At 41.3% G+C, this 23739-nt stretch overlaps 1 protein-coding gene across 26 annotated transcripts in view; it reads left to right on the plus strand.

The window, feature by feature from the left end:
• CEP192 (centrosomal protein 192) overlaps positions 1-23739 on the plus strand; it is a 133675-nt gene that overhangs the window by 83729 nt on the left and 26207 nt on the right. For 25 of the 26 annotated variants that reach the window (XM_006722326.4, XM_005258107.4, XM_047437562.1 and 22 more), the window contains 6 exons: positions 11927-12187; positions 12441-12556; positions 14366-14475; positions 17287-17437; positions 20413-20591; positions 21094-21217. In XM_006722326.4, coding sequence (XP_006722389.1) covers positions 11927-12187; positions 12441-12556; positions 14366-14475; positions 17287-17437; positions 20413-20591; positions 21094-21217 — 941 coding nt within the window. Of the gene's footprint in view, positions 1-11926; positions 12188-12440; positions 12557-13663; positions 14125-14365; positions 14476-17286; positions 17438-20412; positions 20592-21093; positions 21218-23739 lie in introns of those variants that run through there. The other variant, XM_047437576.1, reaches the window with a different exon arrangement.

A 23739-nucleotide genomic window follows, 5' to 3' on the forward strand; every position in this document is an offset into this window, starting at 1 on the left:
AGATGGATCCCTTTGGGAGGTGTTTAGGTCATGAGGCTCTGCCCTCGGGAATGGATTAATGCTGTTATAAAAAGGCCTGAGGGAGGGAGTTTGGCCTTTTTGCCCTTCTGCCTTCTGCCATGCGAGGACACAGCATTTCTTCCCTCTGGAACATGCAGGATTCAAGGTGAGATCTTAGAAGCAGAGAGCAGCCCGGCCGGGTGCGGTGGCTCTATGCCTGTAATCCCAGCAGTTTGGGAGGCTGAGGCAGGTGGATCACGAGGTCAAGAGATCAAGACAATCCTGACCAACATGGTGAAACCCCATCTCTACTAAACATACAAAAATTAGCTGGGCATGGTGGCACACACCTGTAGTCCCAGCTACTCGGGAGGCTGAGGCAGGAGAATCGCTTGAACCCGGGAGGCGGAGGTTGCAGTGAGCCGAGATTGCGCCACTGCACTCCAGCCTGGTGACAGAGCGAGACTCCATCTCAAACAAAAAGAAGCAGAGAGCAGCCCTCACCAGAAACCGGCACCTTGATCTTGGACTTCCAGCCTCCAGAACTGTGAAGAATAAATTTCTGTTCTTTATGAATTACCCAGTCTATAGTTACTGTTATAGCAACACAAACAGACTAAGATGGTGGATTGTCACATTTTTATCTTCAAAACAACCATTCGAGATACTACTACTCTTGCCATTTTGCACATGTGTAAACTGAGGCTGAGAGAGATACGTGGCCGTGATCGTGCATCTTACTTGCTGGTCAGTGGTAGACACAAGGTTCAAATTCAGTCTGGGTGAATGCAGAGCCCACGTTTATGTATTGTGCAGTCTCTAGGGTGCTAATAACAGCTCTGTGTATTGTCATCTGGAGCAGTGGTTCTCAACCAGAGCTTGTGTTACCCCCAGGGGACATTGGCAGAGTCTGGAGTTACTTTTCGTTTGTCATAACTGGGGGCAGGACAAGAGTGCTACTGGCACCAACTGGGTAGAAGCCAGGGAGGCTGCTGAACATCCGAGAAAGCCCAAGACAGTTCCCACCACAAAGAATCATACAGCTCAACATTTCAGTAGCACTGAGGTTAGGAGCAATAGTTTTTCCTGTTTAATCTGTGGATTTACGGTGTTAGATTTGTTTCATTTAATCATTCTTTTTTCTTTTCTTTTTTTTGAGATGGAGTCTTGCTCCATCGCCAGGCGGGAGTGCAGTGGCATCTCGGCTCACTGCAACCTCTGCCCCCCAGGTTCAAGCAGTTCTCTTGCCTCAGCCTCCCGAGTAGCTGGGACTACAGGCGCGTGCCACCACACCCAGCTGATTTTTGTGTTTTTAGTAGAGATGGGATTGTTGGTCAGGATGGTCTTGATCTCTTGACCTCGTGATCCACCAGCCTCAGCCTCCCAAAGTGCTGGGATTACAGGCGTGAGCCACGCACCCGGCCAATCATTCTTTTTTCTTAACCTTGTTACTCTGTAGTAATTTGTGATTTCTTAGGCTTTGAAAATATAGGCAGAATACTTATAATGAGTGTTTTCAAAGGTACCTTTTCCCTTGTTTTTTGCTATTTAGTTTCGTTGATAAAATTTACTCGTACGTTTCTATGGAAAAAGAAAAATTAGAAACATTTTTGCTGTTGAAACTACCAGAGGTCACTTTGAGTGAGGGAGGATTTGTAGGAGCTTCCAATCTGAAACCCTTTTAAATGCTGTTTATTTATTTATTTATTTTGAGACATCATCTCACTCTGTCGCCCAGCCTGGAGTGCAGTGGCGTGATCTCGGCTCACTGCAACTTCCACCTCCCAGGTTCAAGCGATTCTCCTGCCTCAGCGTCTCGAGTAGCTGGGATTACAGGCACCCGTCACCACACCCGGCTAATTTTTGTATTTTTAGTAGAGATGGGGTTGTGCCAGTTGGCCAAGCTTGTCTCAAACTCCTGACCTCAAGTAATCCGCCTGCCTTGGCCTCCAAAAGTGCTGAGATTACGGGCGTGAGCCACTGTGCCAAGCCTGAAATGCTGTTTACTTGTACTAAAAGTCAAGATAGTACAAACTGATGAGGTGCCTGAAACTACTTTTTCAAAATGTTATTTTAGTTAAGTACATAACAACTCGGAATAAGTTATGATGGTTTCAAGTTTGCAAGGAAGTATTTGCAACCTATTTTAGTACAGATTGAGTATCCCTAATCTGAAAATTCAAACTCCACAATGCTCCAGAATCAGAAACTTTTTGAGTGCCAACATGATGCTCAAAGGAAATGCTCTTTGGAGCATTTTGGATTTTGGATTTTTGAATTAGGGATGTTCAGCCAGTATAATGCAGATATTCCCAAATCTAGAACACCTCTGGTCCCAAGCACTTTGAATAAGGGATACTCAACATGTAATTAGGAATGAAAGATAATTTTTAAAGGTGTGCATTTCAAAGAGTATGGAAAGTTTCCAGCAGGGTGAATATTTTCCTTACATTCGAATTTATGGGATGTATTCTGTGAAGGCTTGCTTCCTGCAAGGGTTGAGCCCTGTGGAAGCAGCAGCAGATGGATCCCCAAGCCTGACTCTAGTGTGCTGCTTCCTCCGTTGACAATGTGTCTGTCCTTGAAAAGTTGTTTGAGTTCTTATCTTTAGCTTAGTCCCTTTTGCATGCTTTTCTCTGACACTGGCTAGACTGCACACTAAGAGGATTATAAATACAGTTTTCCCCAAAAACATTTTATTATGAAAAGGTTCAGAATTACTGAGAAGTTGAAAGGATTATACAGTAAACAGTCACATACACTATCACTTAGATTCTATAGTTAACATTTTGCTATATTTCTTCTCCCACATATCCATCCATCAGCTCATCTTTTTAAAATTAATTAATTAATTTTTATTATACTTTTAAGTTCTGGGATACGTGTGCAGAATGTACAGGTTTGTTACACAGGTATACACGTGCCATGGTGGTTTGCTGCACACATCTACCCGTCATCTACATTAGGTATTTCTCCTAATGCTATTCCTCCCCTAGTCCCTCACCCCCTGACAGGCCCCAGTGTGTTATGTTCCCTTCCCTGTGTCCATGTGTTCTTGTTGTTCAACTCCCATTTATGAGTGAGAACATGTGGTGTCTGGTTTTCTGTTCCTGTGTTAGTTTGCTGAGAATGGTTTCTAGCTTCATCCATGTCCCTGCAAAGGACATGAACTTATCCTTTTTTATGGCTGTATAGTATTCTATGGTGTATATGTGCCACATTTTCTTTATCCAGTCTATCATTGATGGGCATTTGGATTGGTTCCAAGTCTTTGCTATTGTGAACAGTGCTGCAATAAACATATGTGTGCATGTGTCTTTATAGCAGCATGATTTATAATCCTTTGGGTATATACCAAGTAATGGGATTGCTGGGTCAAATGATATTTCTAGTTCCAGATCCTTGAGGAATCGCCACACTGTCTTCCACAATGGTTGAACTAATTTACACTCCCACCAACAGTGTAAAAGCGTTCCTATTTCTCCATATCCTCTCCAGCATCTGTTGTTTCCTGACTTTTTAATGATCGCCATTCTTTTGTTGTTGTTGTTGTTGTTGTTATACTTTAAGTTCTAGGGTACATGTTCACAACGTGCAGGTTTGTTACATATGTATACATGTGCCTTGTTGGTTTACTGCACCCATTAACTCGTCATTTACGTTAGGTATATCTCCTAATGCTATCCCTTCCCCTGCCCCCCATCCCACAACAGGCCCCCATGTGTGTGATGTTTCCCACCCAGTGTCCAAGTGTTCTCATTGTTCAATTCCCACCTATGAGTGAGAACATGCGGTGTTTGGTTTTCTGACCTTGTGATAGTTTGCTGAGAATGATGGTTTCCAGCTTCATCCATCTTCCTGCAAAGGACGTGAACTCATCCTTTATTATGGCTGCATAGTATTCCATGGTGTATATATGCCACATTTTCTTAATCCAGTCTATCACTGACGGACATTTGGGTTGGTTCCAAGTCTTTGCTATTGTGAATAGTGCCGCAATAAACATATGTGTGCATGTGTCTTTATAGTAGCATGAATTATAATCCTTTGGGTATATACCCAGTAATGGGATTGCTGCGTCAAATGTATTTCTAATTCTAGATCCTTGAGGAATTGCCACACTCTCTTCCACAATGATTGAACTAGTTTACACTCCCACCAACAGTGTAAAAGTTTTCCTATTTCTCCACATCCTCTCCAGCACCTGTTGTTTCCTGACTTTTTAATGATCACCATTCTGACTGGTGTGAGATGATATCTCATTGTGGTTTTGATTTGCATTTCTCTGATGACCAGTGATGATGAGCATTTTTTTCATGTGTCTGTTGGCTGCATAAATGTCTTCTTTTGAGAAGTGTCTGTTCATATCCTTTGCCCACTTTTTGATGGGGTTGTTTGTTTTTTTCTTGTAAATTTGTTCAAGTTCTTTGTAGATTCTGGATATTAGCCCTTTGACAGATGGGTAGATTAAAAAATTTTCTCCCATTCTGTAGGTTGCCTGTTCACTCTGATGGTAACTTCTTTCGCTGTGCAGAAGCTCTTTAGTTTAATTAGATCCCATTTGTCTATTTTGGCTTTTGTTGCCATTGCTTTTGGTGTTTCAGTCATGAAGTCCTTGCCCATACCTATGTCCTAAATGGTATTGCCTAGGTTTTCTTCTAGGGTTTTTATGGTTTTAAGTCTAACATTTAAGTATTTAATCCATCTTGAATTAATTTTTGAATCAGGTTTAAGGAAGGGATCCAGTTTCAGCTTTCTACATATGGCTAGCCAGTTTTCCCAGCACCATTTATTAAATAGGGAATCCTTTCCCCATTTCTTTTTTTGTCAGGTTTGTCAGAGATCAGATGGTTGTAGATGTGTGGTGTTATTTCTGAGGCCTCTGTTCTGTTCCACTGGTCTGTATATCTGTTTTGGTACCAGTACCATGCTGTTTTGGTTACTGTAGGCTTGTAGTATAGTTTGAAGTCAGGTAGCATGATGCCTCCAGCTTTGTTCTTTTGGCTTAGGATTGTCTTGGCAGTGCAGTCTCTTTTTTTGGTTCCATATGAACTTTAAAGTAGTTTTTTCCAATTCTGTGAAGAAAGTCACTGGTAGCTTGATGGGGATGGCATTGAATCTCTAAATTACCTTGGGCAGTGTGGCCATTTTCACGATATTGATTCTTCCTATCCATGAGCATGGAATGTTCTTCCATTTGTTTGTGTCCTCTTTTATTTCGTTGAGCAGTGGTTTGTAGTTCTCCTTGAAGAGTTCCTTCACATCCCTTGTAAGTTGGATTCCTAGATATTTCATTCTCTTTGTAGCAATTGTGAATGGGAGTTCACTCATGATTTGGCTCTCTGTTTGTCTGTTATTGGTGTATAGGAATGCTTGTGATTTTTGCACACTGATTTTGTATCCTGAGACTTTGCTGAAGTTGCTTATCAGCTTAAGGAGATTTTGGGCTGAGACGATGGGGTTTTCTAGATATACAATCATGTCATCTGCAAACAGGGACAATTTGACTTCCTCTTTTCCTAATTGAATACCCTTTATTTCTTTCTCTTGCCTGATTGCCCTGGCCAGAACTTCCACCACTATGTTGAATAGAAATGGTGAGAGAGGGCATCCCTGTCTTGTGCCAGTTTTCAAAGGGAATGCTTCCAGTTTTTGCCCATTCACTATGATATTGGCTGTGGGTTTGTCATAAATAGCTCTTATTATTTTGAGATATATTCCATCAATACCTAGTTTATTGAGAGTTTTTAGCATGAAGGGCTGTTGAATTTTGTCAAAGGCCTTTTCTGCATCTATTGATATAATTATGTGATTTTTGTCGTTGGTTCTGTTTATGTGATGGATTACATTTATTGATTTGCATATGTTGAACCAGCCTTGCATTCCAGGGATGAAGCCAACTTGATCATGGTGGATAAGCTTTTTGATGTGCTGCTGGATTTGGTTTGCCAGTATTTTATTGAAGATTTTCCCATCGATGTTCATCAGAGATATTGGATTAAAATTCTCTTTTTTTGTTGTGTCTTTGCCAGGCTTTGGTATCAGGATGATGCTGGCCTCATAAAAAATGAGTTAGGGAGGATTCTCTTTTTTTCTATTGATTGGAATAGTTTCAGAAGAAATGGTACCAGCTCCTCTTTGTACCTCTGGTAGAATTCAGCTGTGAATCCGTCTGGTCCTGGAATTTTTTTGGTTGGTAGGCTATTATTGCCTTAATTTTAGAGCCTGTTATTGGTCTATTTAGAGATTCAACTTCTTCCTGGTTTAGTCTTGGGAGGATGTATGTGTCCAGGAATTTACCATTTCTTCTAGATTTTCTAGTTTATTTGTGTAGAGGTGTTTATATTATTCTCTGATGGTAGTTTGTATTTCTGTGGGATCGGTGGTGATATCCCCTTTACCATTGTTTATTGCATCTATTTGATTCTTCTCCCTTTTCTTCTTTGTTAGTCTTGCTAGCAGTCTATCAATTTTGTTGATCTTTTCAAAAAACCAGCTCCTGGATTCATTGATTTTTTTGAAGGTTTTTTTGTGTCTCTATCTCCTTCAGTTCTGCTCTGATCTTCAGTATTTCTTGCCTTCTGCTAGCTTTTGAATGTGTTTGCTCTTGCTCCTCTAGTTCTTTTAATTGTGATGTTAGGGTGGGCATTTAGTGGTATAAATTTCCCTCTACACACTGATTTAAATGTGTCCCAGAGATTCTGGTACGTTGTGTCTTTGTTCTCATTGGTTTCAAAGAACATCTTTATTTCTGCCTTCATTTTGTTATTTACCCAGTAGTCATTCAGGAGCAGGTTGTTCAGTTTCCATGTAGTTGTGCGGTTTTGAGTGAGTTTCTTAATCCCGAGTTCTAACTTGATTGCACTGTGGTGTGAGAGACAGTTTGTTGTGATTTCTGTTCTTTTACATTTGCTGAGGAGTGTTTTACTTCCAACTATGTGGTCAGTTTTGGAATAAGTGTGATGTGGTGCTGAGAAGAATGTATATTCTGTTGATTTGGGGTGGAGAGTTCTGTAGATGTCTATTAGGTCCTCTTGGTGCAGAGCTGAGTTCAAGTCCTGGATATCCTTGTTAACCTTCTGCCTTGTTGATGTGTCTAATATTGACAGTGGGGTGTTAAAGTCTCCAATTATTATTGTCTGGGAGTCTAAGTCTCTTTGTAGGTCTCTGAGGACTTGCTTTACGAATCTGGGTGCTCCTGTATTAGGTGCATATATATTTAGGATAGTTAGCTCTTCTCGTTGAATTGATCTCTTATGATTATATGATGGCTTTCTTGGTCTCTTTTGATCTTTGTTCGTTTAAAGTCTGTTTTATCAGAGACTAGGATTGCAACCCCTGCTTTTTTTTTTTTTTTTTTTTTTTTTGCTTTCCTTTTGCTTGGTAGATCTTCCTTCATCCCTTTATTTTGAGCCTATGTGTGTCTCTGCACGTGAGATGGGTCTCCTGAATAGAGCACACTGATGGTTCTTGACTCTTTATCCAATTTGCCAGTCTGTGTCTTTTAATTGGGGCATTTAGTCCATTTACATTTAAGGTTAATATTGTTATGTGTGAATTTGATCCTGTCATTATGATGTTAGCTGGTTATTTTGCCTGGTAGTTGATGTAGTTTCTTCCTAGCCTCGATGGTCTTTACAATTTGGCATGTTTTTGCAGTGGCTAGTACCAGTTGTTCCTTTCCATGTTTAGTGCTTCCTTCAGGAGCTCTTGTAAGGCAGGCCTGGTGGTGACAAAATCTCTCAGCGTTTGCTTGTCTGTAAAGGATTTTATTTCTCCTTCACTTATGAAGCTTCGTTTGGCTGGATATGAAATTCTGGGTTGAAAATTCTTTCCTTTAATATGTTGAATATTGGCCCCCACTCTGTTCTGGCTTGTAGAGTTTCTGCTGAGAGATCAGCTGTTAGTCTGATGTGCTTCCCTTTGTGGGTAACCCGACCTTTGTCTCTGGCTGCCCTTAACATTTTTTCCTTCATTCCAACCTTGGTGAATCTGACAATTATGTGCCTTGGGGTTGCTCTTCTCGAGGAGTATCTTTGTGGTGTTCTCTGTATTTCCTGAATTTGAATGTTGGCCTGCCTTGCTAGGTGGGGAAGTTCTCCTGGATAATATCCTGCAGTGTGTTTTCCAACTTGGTTCCATTCTTCCTGTCACTTTCAGGTACACCAATCAGATGTAGATTTGATGTTTTCACATAGTCCCATATTTCTTGGAGGCTTTGTTTCTTTTTACTTTTTGTCCTAAACTTCTCTTCTCACTTTATTTCATTCATTTGATCTTCAATCACTGATATCCTTTCGCCCACTTGATCGAGTTGGCTATTGAAGCTTGTGCATGCATCACGTAGTTCTTGTGCCATGTTTTTCAGCTCCATCAGGTCATTTGTGGTCTTCTCTGTGATGTTTATTCTAGTTAGCCATTCGTCTAATCTTTTTTCAAAGTTTTTAGCTTCCTTGCGATGGGTTCGAACATTCTCCTTTAGCTCGGAGAAGTTTGTTATTACCGACCTTCTGAAGCCTACTGCTGTCAGCTCATCAAAGTCATTGTCCATGCAGCTTTGTTCTGTTGCTGGTGAGGAGCTGCGATCTTTTGGAGGAGAAGAGGTGCTCTGGTTTTTAGAATTTTCAGCTTTTCTGCTCTGGTTTCTCCCCATCTTTGTGGTTTTATCTACCTTTGGTCTTTGATGCTGGTGACCTACAGATGGGGTTTTGGTGTGGATGTCCTTTTTGTTGATGTTGATGGTGTTCCTTTCTGTTTGTTAGTTTTCCTTCTAAGAGTCAGGTCCCTCAGCTACAGGTCTGTTGGAGTTTGCTGGAGGTACACTCCAGATCCTGTTTGCCTGGGTATCATCAGTGGAGGCTGCAGAACGGCAAATATTGCTGCCTGATCCTTCCTCTGGCAGCTTCGTCCCAGAGGGGCACCAGCCTGTATGAGGTGTCATTCGGCCCCTGCTGGGAGGTGTCTCCCAGCTAGGCTACACGGGGGTCAGGGACCCACTTGAGGAGGCAGTCTGTCTGTTCTCAGAGCTCAAACGTCATGCTGGGAGAACCACTGCTCTCTTCAGAGCTGTCAGACAGGGACGTTTAAGTCTGGAGAAGTTTCTGCTGCCTTTTTTTCAGCTATGCCCTGCCCCTAGAGGTGGGCTCTATAGAGGTTGTAGGCATTGCAGAGCTACGGTGGGCTCCACCCAGTTCGAGCTTCCCTGGCTGCTTTGTTTACCTACTCAAGCCTCAGCAATGGTGGATGCCCCTCCCCCCGTCAGGCTACTGCCTTACAGGTGGATCTCAGACTGCTGTGTTAGCAGTGAGCAAGGCTCTGTGGGCGTGGGACCTGCCAAGCCAAGCGCGGGATAAAATCTCCTGGTGTGCCGTTTGCTAAGAGTGTTGGAAAAGCACAGTATTTGGGCGGGATTGTCCCGATTTTCCAGGTACAGTCTGTCACAGCTTCCCTTGGCTAGGAAAGGGAAATCCCCCGACCCCTTGTGCTTCCCGGGTGAGGCAATGCCCCGCCCTGCTTCAGCTCACCCTCCGTGGGCTGCACCCACTGTCCAACCAGTCCCAGTGAGATGAACCAGGTACCTCAGTTGCAAATCCAGAAATCACCATCTTCTGTGTCAATCACGCTGGGAGCTGCAGACCGGAGCTGTTCTTATTCAGCCATCTTGAAACGGAGTCTCTAATGATCGCCATTCTCACGCATGAGATGGTATCTCATTGTGGTTTTGATTTCCTTTTTTTTTTTGAGACAGAGTCTTCCTCTGTTGCCCAGGCTGGAGTGCAGTGGTACAATCTCGGCTCACTGCAACCTCCGCCTCCCGGGTTCAAGCGATTCTCCTGCCTCTGAGCCTCCCAAGTAGCTGAGACTACAAGCGCATGCCACCACACCCAGCTAATTTTTTGGGTTTTTTTTTTTTTTAAGTAGAAAAGGGGTTTCACCATGTTAGCCAGGATGGTCTTGATCTCCTGATCTCGTGATCTGCCCACCTTTGCCTCCCAAAGTGCTGGGATTACAGGTGTGAGCCACCGTGCCTGGTCGATTTGCATTTCTCTAATAACCAGTAATGATGAGCTTTTTTTCACGTTTGTTGGCTGCATAAATGTCTTCTTTTGAGAAGTATCTGTTCATATCCTTTGCCCACTTTTTGATGGGATTTTTTTTTCTTGTAAATTTGTTCAAGTTCTTTGTAGATTCTGGATATCAGCCCTCAGCCCTCTGTCAGATGGATAGATAGCAAAAATGTTCTCCCATTCTATAGGTTACCTATTCACTCTGATAGTTTCTTTTGCTGTGCAGAAGCTCTTTAGTTTAATTAGATCCCATTTGTGAATTTTGGCTTTTGTTGCCATCGCTTTTGGTGTTTAGTCATGAAGTCTTTGCCCATGTCTGTGTCCTGAATGGTATTGCCTAGGTTTTCTTCCAGAGTTTTAATGGTTTTATGTCTTACGTTTAAGTCTTTAATCCATCTTGAGTTAATTTTTGTATAAGTTGTAAGGAAGGGCTCCAGTTTCAGTTTTCTGCATATGGCTAGCCAGTTTTCCTAACACCATTTATTAAATAGGGAATCCTTTCCCCATTTCTTGTTTTGTCAAGTTTGTCAAAGATCAGATGGTTGTAGATGTGTGGTGTTATTTTTGAGGCCTCTATTCTGTTCCATTTGTCTGTCTTTCTGTTTTGGTATCAGGACCATGCTGTTTTGGTTACTGTAACCTTGTAGTATAGTTTGAAGTCAGGTGGCGTGATGCCTCCAGCTTTGTTCATTTTGCCTAGGATTGTCTTGGCTATACGGGCTCTTTTTTGGTTCCATATGAACTTTAAAGTAGTTTTTTTTTTCTAATTCTGTGAAGAAAGTCAATGGTAGCTTGATGGGAACAGCATTGAATCTATAAATTACTTTGGGCAGTATGGCCATTTTCTCGATATTGAGTCCATGGAATGTTTTTCCATTTCTTTGTGTCTTCTCTTACTTCTTTGAGCAGTGGTTTGTAGTTCTCCTTGAAGAGGTCATTGACTTCCCTTGTAAGTTGTATTCCTAGGTTCTTTATTCTCTTTGTAGCAATTGTGAATGGGAGTTTACTCATGATTTGGCCCTGTTTGTCTATTATTGGTGTATAGGAATGCTTGTGATTTTCACACATTGACTTTGTGTCCTGAGACAGCTGCAGTTGCTTATCAGATTAAGGAGATTTTGGACTGAGACGATGGGGTTTTCTAAATATACAATCATGTCACCTGCAAAGAGAGACAATTTGACTTCCTCTCTTCCTATTTGAAGACGCTTTATTTCTTTGTCTTGCCTGATTGCCTTGGCCAAAACTTCCAATACTGTGTTGAATAGGAGTGGTGAGAGAGGGCATCCAACCCCTTGCACTTCCCAGGTAAGGCGACGCCCCACCCTGCTTCGGCTCACCCTCCATGGGCTGCATCCACTCTCTAACCAGTCCCAGTGAGATGAGCTGGGTACCTCAGTTGGAAATGCAGAAATCACCCGCCTTCAGTATTGATCTCGCTAGGAGCTGCAGACAGGATCTGTTCCTATTTGGCCACCTTGCCAGCCACCAGTTCATCTTTTTAGTGCATTTCAAAGTAAATTAAAAATATGTGAATATTTTACTCTATAAACTTCTTAATCAAGCATATCTGTACTAATCTTTATATTATTCCTGTGTCATCAAAGCTTGGCTTTTGAAATAGTTAATTCTTAGCCTATCAGAAGCCAGATACTTTTGCAGCTCTTTGGTTTGTTTTTTCCTTAAGACAAAGTCTTGAATATACTGCTGGACTGGAAATGGGGAACTACTACCCAAAGTACACAAACATTTAAATTTTTAATTGTATTAAATCTTTCTGAATTTTCTTCTCACTGTAATTCAGTGTTTCGCTTTCTGCTTAACATTAAAATAATTTTGGATATGTATATCTTTTTTAGATACCTTTGTCTGGATATGGAGGAACAAGCAATCTTATTTTGGAAGGCGTTAAAAAATTATCTGACAGTTACATGGTAACAGTGAATGGCTTAGTACCTGGCAAAGAAAGTAAAATTGTTTTTTCTGTCCGCAACACTGGCTCCCGAGCAGCTTTTGTTAAAGCAGTAGGTTTTAAGGATTCTCAGAAAAAAGTTTTGCTGGATCCTAAAGTATTGAGGATTTTTCCAGATAAATTTGTACTCAAGGAAAGAACACAAGAAGTAAGTACAAAAGTTTCTGTGCTAAAAACATCAACTCATTTTAAAATTGTTAATAATTATGTATTTTAAAGCCAAAAGCTAAAATAATACTTGAAAATAATGTAGGAATAGAAGTACTTATGTGATCTTGGAAATGCCATGCGTATGCACTTGTGTCTGTGTCGAATTTTTAGGCTCGTAAGATTGTTGAATCAGATTGAAATTACTTAAAAATATTTAATATTTACTCCTGATTTTTTTTTCTTGGCATCAGAATGTTACTTTAATATATAATCCATCAGACAGAGGAATCAATAATAAAACTGCAACAGAACTATCAACTGTATACTTATTTGGTGGAGATGAAATTTCAAGACAGCAGTATCGCAGGTAGATTACTTATCTTACACAATGTTGGGAACCATTCAGCAGAAATAATGAAGGCTTCTGTGGCTTGGGATTTGGAATTTTTAGAGTATTTCACTATTTATTAGTGAACTGGTAGATGAAAAATCTTGGTAGAATTTATGTGGATGATGAGCTACCACAATGTGAGGAAGAAATACCCGTAGGAAATTCATCTCCTGTATTTCCTTAGAATGTGCCTTCTTTTCTAGGTGAATGTATTGTGCCACTCTTCCCTTACTCAGTAGGTGCATCATACTTCATAATAGGACCATTTCCGTAATGTACTCTTGATGACATGTTAAGTGACAGTGTCAGTTTTATAAAAGATTTAAGAACTACTGAATGATTATATTGTATAAACACAGATGACTAGTTAGTAATATTTCTGGGAATGCTGTGAATTATTTGAAAGGATCAAGTTGAATTTTCGAAATGTGTAAGATGTTTAACTTGTAGATACTTAAAAAGTATGAACTACTATAAAATCTGATATATCTAATTTAAATATAGGGCGGGCTGTGTGGCTCATGCCCAGCACTTTGGGAGGCTGAGGTGGGAGGATTGCTTGAGGCCAGGAGTTCAAGACCAGCCTGGGCAACATAATGAGACCTTGTCTCTAGAAAAGAAATAGAAAATTTAGTTGGGTGTGATGGTGTGCACCTGTAGTCCTCACTACTTTGGAGGCTGAGGTGGGAAGATCACAATCCCAGGAGTTCAAGGCTGCAGTGAGCTATGATTGCACTCCAGCCTTGGTGACAGAGCCAGACCTCTCTCATAAATAAATAAATACATACATACATAAATAATTTAAACATAGTTTGATATGCTGAACTGTTGGAAAATTTAGGATGTTGATTTAAGTTTAGGCGTGATTTAAAGATATGAATTCTCTTATTGTAAAGTGTAGCTTCCTAGATTAAAGGACCTAAACATAGGATGAGTGCAGCTCATGGTGTGTCATCTGCTAATAAAAAATAATTAGAAAGGGGGTGTGGAGGAATACGCCTGTTTCCTTCTGACCCTTTGTGCTTGACTGTTTTTTATTCTAATACAGAATTTGGGAAATTGTTTTGTTTTTAATTTGTTGAGGGTCATTGGAATGTTTTACAAGAGGGAATTTAATGGCGACTTGCTACATGATGTTAGAACAGACCAAATACAAAGCTTGCCTTTGAACCTGGTTTTGTTTCTTAATTATTTTGGAAATAGAAACTGACATTTGGAGAAATCACATTATGAGGTATTCTGATGTTTTTTTTTCTCTCAATTGGGATATAGAAATCAGCGTATTGTTTTCAAACTCTTTGCCATAAAATTAACAGTAGTGAGATTTTTTTTGTGGACATCTGAGTATTATAGAGAAATCTACATTTCAGTTTTCTCACCTCAGATTCTCTGGAAGGAGCCAGATAAACATAGTTATATGGTAATTTAGGTATTCCCCTTCAAATGTTTCCATTTTTAGCATGTTCTTTTGTGTTCTGAGACAAATTTCTAGCTGTAACCAAATTATCACAAATAATGAAAATGTAGGACCTGAAAAGAATCTAATTTTACTCTTCTTTTAGGGAATTCTTGTTTGATGTTAATATTTAACTGAAACTGATAATTTTACTACCATGTGTAATTTTTCAAAGAACTTCCAAAACAGGTTTTTCTTTTAGGTGTAAGGTCTGTGTACTAATATATCAGTATTAGTGGGATTTGCCAAATGCATTAGTGAAAATCTAATTAAAGTTATTTTATATATAACGTCACTTTTAAATAATAAAAAAAAATCTCTCCTGGCAGGGCCCTGTTACATAAACCAGAGATGATAAAACAGATACTTCCAGAACATAGTGTGCTTCAAAACATTAATTTTGTTGAAGCATTTCAAGATGAGCTATTAGTAACTGAAGGTAAGAATTCCGGCGTGTCTTGATGTATTAAATCTTTTGGGTCATTTATAGTATTATCTATGTCCAATGATGTGATATAAGAAGGAAGTGTTAGTTTAGATGCAGTGTCAGGCAGAGTTTGAGCCACAGCCCTGCTGTATGAGTTTGAACAAATTACATCATTGAATGTCAGTTTCCTTATCTTGTAAATGGAAAGAAGAGCGACATCTAGCTCATCTAGCTTTTCATCCATACAGAGTTGTTATAAGTATTCGATGAAAGAGCTTTGCTGCTGTATAAATGTTACATGTTACTTTCTGCACTTATTCTCTAGGCACCCTTGTAAACAGGAAGAGGAAAATGGTCATTATTAAATCAAATTAATTGCTACTTAGATTTGATTGCAAACTTGCACTCATTTTGAGGTTACTGTGCTATCGTGCCTATTGTAAGATTTATGGAAGATGTAGTGGTGGCAAAAAAACTTCAAAATAGATAGTAATAAGGTGACACTAACCTAGATGGTTAGCCCTGTTTACACTAAACATTTCAAATATTTAACAATATTTATTATTCATACAAAATATAAATATATTGAGACATACAGACTGTGTTAAAATGTATATACAGATTTTCACCATAGTGTTGTTTATAATAGCAAGAAGCTAGAAGTAACCTTAATGCCCAAGAATAGGGAGTTATTTAATTATGTGGTAGAATATTTGAAGCCATTAGAACAATAATATGAATCTGTACTGAATGACATGGAAAGCTCTTCATTTATCACAAAACCTTTTTGAAGTTTGTATAGTAAGATCTCATTTTGCTAAAAATTATTACATATATATTTACATAAGTAAAATTACAGGCATATACACACCAAAATAATAAGTGGCTAGTTTTGGTGGTAAATTTCACGTGGTAGCTTTTCCCTGTTTTTATTTTCTAGTTTTTTAGTGATGGAATGTATTTTGCTTCTGAAATATGAAGTGATGAAAGGATATTTATGCCTTGGTGTAGGGGTGATGTTGAATAGTCTGTGAACTTTTCATTAAGTGGGGGTCTAGATCATCTGCTCAAAGGGAAGGCAAGGATGAGTTGGTTAAAAATGACAAAAAGACTTCAAATGGACTTGTCAGGAGTGTGCTAAGGGACCAGAGCAAAGGAAAAAAACCTTGGACTTGGAGTTGAAACTGAAGACCCATCTGTCCCACTACAGCCCCACCTCTTCCTCATAGGAAGGATCCAAATACGAGATAAGCTGAACTGTGCTATGGAGATGGAACACTAACACTTAGTAACATGGTGCAACTGTGGTGAAGATTGTAGGGAACCAGAGTTTGCAGTGGTTCAGAAGCTGGCATTGCCCCACCATATAGCAACAGTCCTCTCGTTGGATGGTGGATGCATCCTGAGAGGACAAGATGCCAGTAGGTCTATGGACACTGGATGCAGAGGTACTGGATGCAGTCCTTGTCCATGAGGGGCTTACAGACTCAGGGGAAGACAGATGACTTAGGTGTGATGTGAAAAGTGCTGTTACAGACAGAGCTGTGTTTACAAATCTGGGAGGGCACCTCACTTAGAATGAGATGATTCTTGAGGTATACTTGAAGAAAGAGGAGGAGTTGGCAAGGTGAAGATGAGACCAGAATGAGGAAGAATGCTCCAGGTACAGCTGCATGTCCAAAAATTAAGTACACATATTGTATTAAGAGTTGTGTTGACACAGCCAACCAAGAGCTCAAGTAGCCTGTCAAGATTGCCCATCTAAGGTGGGGTTGAGCTAGGACTCAGGCCAGGTCTTTGGGACACCAGAATTTCACCTCAAGGAATACTATATTCCTTGTGATTATAAGTTTATTGCCCAGAGGAATGGAGGAAACAGTTTCACTTTTTCATGTTGGTTGGTACCATAGATCACCTGGAGTATAATGCAGTTGAAGCTTTTATGTGATGAATTTCAGTAACATTTGCTTGAGCATGTTACTATTCCAAGGATTTGTAACAATCTTGCTTTTACAAAATGTGTAATTTGTGGCATGTATTTTTGTAGTTGATTTAAACTTTTTCAGTCAGGAGTCTTGCTTAAGTTATAAATTTAAATTTATAGTTACTGTGTTCTTTTAAAATTTCCATGTCAAAATATATGACTCAAAGACTATCTAATTTAACATTTCTTGTTTATACAAATTTGGGTGTCCTAATCTAGAGATGTTTATCTTGAACACTCTTTCATTAATCTATAAATATTTAATTAAATGAATAGTTCTAGTTTCTAGATTTACTTTAAATTGAATGTCTATGAGACTGCCACTTAAAAATCATGGACCCTTAATTTCTGTGCTTCAGATTTTTCCTCTTTGCAGTAGAGGTAATAGTACCTATCTCAAAGAATTGTTTTGAAAATTAACTAAATTAATATATATAAAGGGATTAGAACAATGTCCACATTAAGCTTCATATAAATGTTTGTTGCCGAATATATCTACAAAGGCATTCTTATTTTAATGCTCACAACCCCTGATACAGATCGTTACTCTATATTATAGTTGGGGAAACTAAGTTCAGGGAGGTTAAGTAACTTGCCAAAAGTCACAAAGTAAATGAGTGGCAAAGGTAGTTCAAATTCAGGTTCCAAGTCTGAGCTGTCAGCCACTGGTGCTGAATTGACTGTAATTTTGTGCCAGGTGGTATACTGCTAATCCAAATGTCACCTCCCCCAACCCAGGAAACTAATATTCTATAGCTATAAATATACAAATGTATCTGTTACTTTGTGGTATGCTTGTGTGAACATTCATGTATTTCAAACATTATTTTCTATTTCAGTATATGATCTTCCCCAACGACCTAATGATGTTCAGCTCTTTTATGGAAGCATGTGTAAAATTATACTTTCAGTAATTGGAGAATTCAGAGATTGCATTTCTAGCAGAGAATTCCTTCAGCCTTCTTCCAAAGCTAGCTTGGAATCTACAAGGTAAAATAAATGAACAGAAATCTTTCACCAGATTTCAGGATGATTCGATTCATAGCAAAGCTGATCTTTTTTCCTGTACTTCACTATTATTATTATTTTGTCTCAAAATTTTTATTTCACCTTTATTTTAAAATTTAAGTTGAAATAATTTCAAACTTTCAGGAAAGTTTAGAAATAGTGCAGAGAACTCCCATATACTCTGCACTCAGACTCACCGTTGTTAACAGTTTACCACCTTTACCTTATCATCCTCTATTTGTATGGAAGGTTTTTCTGGACCACGTAAGAGTAAGTTTCAGGCATGATAACCAATTAGCCCTAAATTTCCTAAAAACACTCTCCTACGGCCAGGTATGGTGGCTCTTGCATGTAATCCCAGCACTTTGGGAGGCCAAGGCAGGCGGATCACGAGGTCAGGAGATCGAGATCATCCTGGCTAACACAGTGAAACCCCGTCTCTACTAAAAATACAAAAAAAAAAGTTAGCCAGGCGTGGTGGTGGGCACCTGTAGTCCCAGCTACTGGGGAGGCTGAGGTAGGAGAATGGTGTGAACCCAGGAGGCAGAGCTTGCAGTGAGCCAAGATGGGGACATTGCATTCCAGCCTGGGCAATAGCAAGACTCTGTCTCAAAAACAAAACAAAACAAAAAAACACTCTCCTGCATAGCCATGGAAAACTCATCCAAATTAGGACATTTAATAGCAATACACTACAATCATTTAGTCCACAGGTTCCATCCACATGTTATTGTTTGTTCCAATAATGTCCTTTATGTTATAGTTAAATGACAAAACAACAACAAAAATAACCTTCCTCTTTGCTGCTTCCTCTCTGGTCCGGAGTGTAATCTAACATCACATGATGCATTTGGTTATCCTATCTGCTTACTCTCTTTCAGAATAGAGTTCCTTAGCCTTTCCTTATCTTTCCTGACTGAGATGATACAGAAGGTTCAATTATTGTATCAGATCCACAGAATCAAAGACTTCATCCAGAATTAAGCTTACTAGTAATTTTAGGTGAAGCCTGGAGAAGTCTGGGACTGGCAGTGGTGCTTCCTAGGTCCTTTTGGCAGCATTAATACTTGAGCTCTTGTTCAGATTTGACACAAGGTCTCTAAATTGTTCATGTGCTACATGGCTTACCCGAAATGAAGAGCTATATTGAGCATGAAAGTTCTGTTTTGTACTTTGGTAATTACATAACTTATGTGGTAATTTTTCAAATAACTGCATCCCATAAAATCGGAAGCTTCAGGTTTCTTTACCGCAAATAATTCTAGACAGAGCAGATACATCTTGCAAAAAGCATTCCATAGATAAGGACATTAGTGTGTGTGCTAGGAGATCTGTCATTAGCAAGATCACCGGGAGATTTCACCAAATCACCTTTCTTTTTTCTTGAGCATTCCCTGGTAAAAAGGAGAAAATAGATTGCAGGCCAATTGCTAACTCTTTCTTACCAATGACCTTGATGTTTTTATGGAGTCCAGGCCAGTTACTTTGTAAAATATCCCGCAATTTCAGTTTGCAGATTCAATTTTCACACTTTTGGTAGGAATGATGCTGTTTGTTTTCTTGGTGCATCTTCTCAGGCAGTGTACAGTGCTGATTTGTCCTATCACTAATACTATTTTCATCACTTAGTTAAAAATGGTGCCTGCCAGATTTCTCCACTGTAAAACTAATGAATATCTTAAGAGGGAGTTCTTTAAAGATCATGATTATCTTGTTCCTCATCAAACTGTGAGCATCCATTGATGCTTGTTGCCTGAATTATTTTCATCATGGTTACCAAAGGGTGATTTCTAATTCCATCTTTCTGCATTTATTAATTGGCTCTTTACTATGAGGAAGAGGTTTGCTTTTGGCCCTTTCATGTAATTATTCACTGATATTGGAGTGGACTCTGGGTGCAGTGTTGATCCTTCACTGTCGTTATTTGGTCCTGCATTGCATTCTGGCTTCTGATCCTTTTGATAGGTCCCCCGTCCTTCTTTGCGCACTTTCTTACCCATTGGCACAGCAGGATGTTTAGGCTCATCGTATACTTTCCCTGCCCCACCCTGGAATAACCATTTCTCTCCGAAGCTGAGAGTAGAGAATGGTGTTAGAAACCAGGGTGCAGGCACTAGGTGTGCTCATGCTGTTGAGGTATCCTTGCTTCTAGGCCCTCCCTGTGGACAAACCCAGGAAACGTGGACTAATGTACAAATCCACACACTTCTGTATTTACTTCTGTTTATAAATATGTTAAATGAGCTTACTGTGAAGCCTCCAATTCTAATCTAACACCACAGTGCCTTTCCACATTTATACCCTTTTCTCCAGTACTCGATCCCTAGCCCCATTATCTTCAATATATTTACATTTTTACTTAATCCCCCTATTTTTTAACTAATCTTCCCATTGCACGGCTGTCTCCCTGAGCCCAGTGCTGCTGACGCAGACTGGCTGAGTGTTCCCTGCAAGTCCCAGTGCCACCACCCACCCCTGTCACCCCTATACTTTACGTATTTTTTTAAAAGACAGGGTTTCATTGTGTAGCCCAGGTTGGACTCCTGGCCTCAAGTAATTCTCCTGCCTCGGCCTTCCTGGTAGCTGGGACTACAGACACCTGCCACCACTCCCAGCTAATTTTTCTTTTTTCTTTTTGTAGAGGTGGTGTCTTGCTATGTTGCCCAGGCTGTTCTCAAACTCCTAGCCTTAAGCAATCCTCCCGCCTCGGCCTCCCAAAGTGCTGGGATTATAGGCATGATCCACCACACCCAGCCTGTACACATTGTAAACTATACACAATATGAATAACTTTTATTCACTAAAAAATACCTGATAACTCACTTTTAACTTTGTCTTAATGTTTTTAGATTTATGAAGAATATAAAAATATGTGATACAATCTGGCCTTTTATCATTTTTAACTTCTCAGTCTCTTTCTTCATGTCTAACTTTTTCATTTTTAAATAATTTTTTAGCGACTTGGGAGCTTCTGGGAAACATGGTGGCAACGTCTCTTTGGATGTTTTACCAGTCAAAGGTCCTCAGGGTTCTCCTCTTCTCTCACGGGCGGCTCGCCCGCCTCTGGATCAGCTGGCCTCCGAAGAGCCGTGGACTGTCCTACCCGAGCACTTGATTCTGGTAGCTCCTTCTCCTTGTGAGTATGTCAACTGTGACACCTCAGAGGTGTGTTCCGGCGTCCGGGCCTGCACTCCCATTGTGCCCATGGCCTATCCAAGACACACATGGGCTCCTGCACATTGAGCTGTGACTTGCCCAGGCCCTGCTTCCACTGTTGGAGACCCCACTCAGACTTGCCTAGAGCAGAGTCCTTGTCCCAGGGCCACACTCCTCAATGAGGCTCCCAGTTCTCCAATGGCAGAGCCACACCTCTGCCCACAGAGATACAGCATTGGTTCAGAGTAGAGTGAATCTGCTACGTGGGTGTGTGCTTAAGTTAAGACCAAGCAGTGACGATTTCCAGGATTCCTTTTTCCTCTTTGTTTACTACCAAGGATTGGAAATTTCTGTAATTGAGCAGTTGAGAAAGCAGTAGCATACTTGTATATCTATTTAGGGTTCTGGTTTATTAGTTGTTAATATTTGTCTTTTTCACTGTTGTTAAATGTAAGTCACATTTTATGTATCTGACAAAATAGGTGACATGGCAAAAACTGGACGTTTCCAGATTGTGAATAACTCTGTGAGGTTACTGAGATTTGAGCTGTGCTGGCCAGCGCATTGCCTCACAGTCACGCCGCAGCATGGATGTGTCGCGCCAGAGTAAGTCTGACTTCTGTGTTGCTCTGCGTGTTACTTAGGTGCTGGCTTGGTGACTTTCTAAAGATCAAATAATATGTCATTGTAGTTTATCCAGTTGAATTTTGCACCGTGCTGACTCTGCACAAAGCATGTGCATGGTTCTGCAGGTCAGCTGTGAGTTCAAGTGGTAGGCGGTCTAGTGGAGCAGAGATCTGCACACAGCTGGTTATGCTGTCACCCAGGAGGGTAAAGGGACACACACATTTGAGGTGGAACAGAGTCCCTGGTATGGAAGACTTCAGAGCGTTTCCTTCTTAGGACTGCCCATGAAATCACAAAGCAAGGAATGCAACTGGACATGGGATGAGGGGTCGCGATGTGTCCCGAGCCCAAACACTTCTGCCATTTCTTACCTTGGTTTGGGTTGTGTGTTCTGCTGGCTTTTTCTGAATGATGTTTTTCAGACAAAGCTTCCTCAATTTTAGTATGTATGAGCCATAACCTTGCTTACTGTTTTCTATGTAGAATATTCTAGGACAGAAGGAAGTCTTTTGGGGCCGGCCATTTATACACAGCTGCCTGCCCTCTGTCCACAGCCTGGTTGTTGATAGGTGGGAAAGCCACAGTTCTGCAGCTTTTCAGGACTTCATCTGGCCAGCACATGACTCCCACATCTGCACGTTCCTTTATATCTGGGATTAGCAACTTTGCAGAAAGACAACATGAAGTTTATTTAGTTTTTGCAAAATGATATGCTAAAATTTTAGGAGAGTTTACTTGACTGAGACTTTTAGCTGAGGCATGGTCAGGGACACTCCAGAGAGCGTTGCTGGGACCAGAGCAGTCAGTTTGGCATGCAGCAAGTGTTTCTCATGTGCCACACACCCTTTCAGCTAATGGTAGAACAGGTTCCTCACAGCCCGCTTTTTCTGTAGCCCCATGGGTTTAGCAGGGGAAGACAATCTTGCCCTTTCATTTTTGACATGTGTACTGAAACAGCTTTTCAGTCTGGTGATTTCTTTAAAATCAAATCTGATCCCATTGTCCACTTATAAACTCTTCTCTGGCATCCCCTGGTTCTTGAAGAGAATATTGAGCCCAGAAAATATAAGCAGCCGGGTCATACGGAAACACGTTTTTTTCTTCATTTCTTCTCCATCTCCCCGACCCTTTTTTTTCCAGTTTCCTCTGCAACTGCTTCATTCTCCCCGTGCTGTACTTGCATTCTTCTTTATTCTCACGTGGCTCAGAGCTTTTGTAGTCTTGGTCTTTTGCTCTAGAAGTTTTTACCGTGAGTTGCTTTTAAAATGGTATTCCTAAGGCATGGTTTGTTTTCTTTTCTTTTTTTTTTTTTTAACTATTATTTTTTTTTTTTTTATTGATCATTCTTGGGTGTTTCTCGCAGAGGGGGATTTGGCAGGGTCATAGGACAATAGTGGAGGGAAGGTCAGCAGATAAACAAGTGAACAAAGGTCTCTGGTTTTCCTAGGCAGAGGACCCTGAGGCCTTCCGCAGTGTTTGTGTCCCTGGGTACTTGAGATTAGGGAGTGGCGATGACTCTTAACGAACATGCTGCCTTCAAGCATCTGTTTAGCAAAGCACATCTTGCACCACCCTTAATCCATTCAACCCTGAGTGGACACAGCACATGTTTCAGAGAACACAGGGTTGGGGGTAAGGTCATAGATCAACAGGATCCCAAGGCAGAAGAATTTTTCTTAGTACAGAACAAAATGAAAAGTCTCCCATGTCTACTTCTTTCTACACAGACACAGCAACCATCCGATTTCTCAATCTTTTCCCCACCTTTCCCCCTTTTCTATTCCACAAAACCGCCATTGTCATCATAGCCCGTTCTCGATGAGCTGTTGGGTACACCTCCCAGACGGGGTGGTGGCCAGGCAGACGGGCTCCTCACTTCCCAGTAGGGGCGGCCGGGCAGAGGCACCCCTCACCTCCCGGACGGGACGGCTGGCCAGGCGGGGGCTGACCCCCCACCTCCCTCCTGGATGGGGCGGCTGGCCTGGCGGGGGCTGACCCCCACCTCCCTCCCGGACAGGGTGGCTGCCAGGCGGAGACACTCCTCACTTCCCAGACGGGGCGGCTGCCGGGCGGAGGGGCTCCTCACTTCTCAGACGGGGCGGCTGCCGGGCGGAGGGTCTCCTCACTTCTCAGACGGGGCGGCTGGGCAGAGACGCTCCTCACCTCCCAGATGGGGTCGCGGCCGGGCAGAGGCGCTCCTCACATCCCAGACTGGGCGGCGGGGCAGAGGCGCTCCCCACATCTCAGACGATGGGCGGCCGGGCAGAGATGCTCCTCACTTCCTAGATGGGATGGCGGCCGGGAAGAGGCGCTCCTCCCTTCCTAGATGGAATGGCGGCCAGGCAGAGACGCTCCTCACTTTCCAGACTGGGCAGCCAGGCAGAGGGGCCCCTCACATCCCAGATGATGGGCGGCCAGGCAGAGACGCTCCTCACTTCCCAGACGGGGTGGCGGCCGGGCAGAGGCTGCAGTCTCGGCACTTTGAGAGGCCAAGGCAGGCG

Source organism: Homo sapiens, chromosome 18 (genome assembly GCF_000001405.40).
Source record: "Homo sapiens chromosome 18, GRCh38.p14 Primary Assembly".
Classification (NCBI taxonomy): domain Eukaryota; kingdom Metazoa; phylum Chordata; class Mammalia; order Primates; family Hominidae; genus Homo; species Homo sapiens.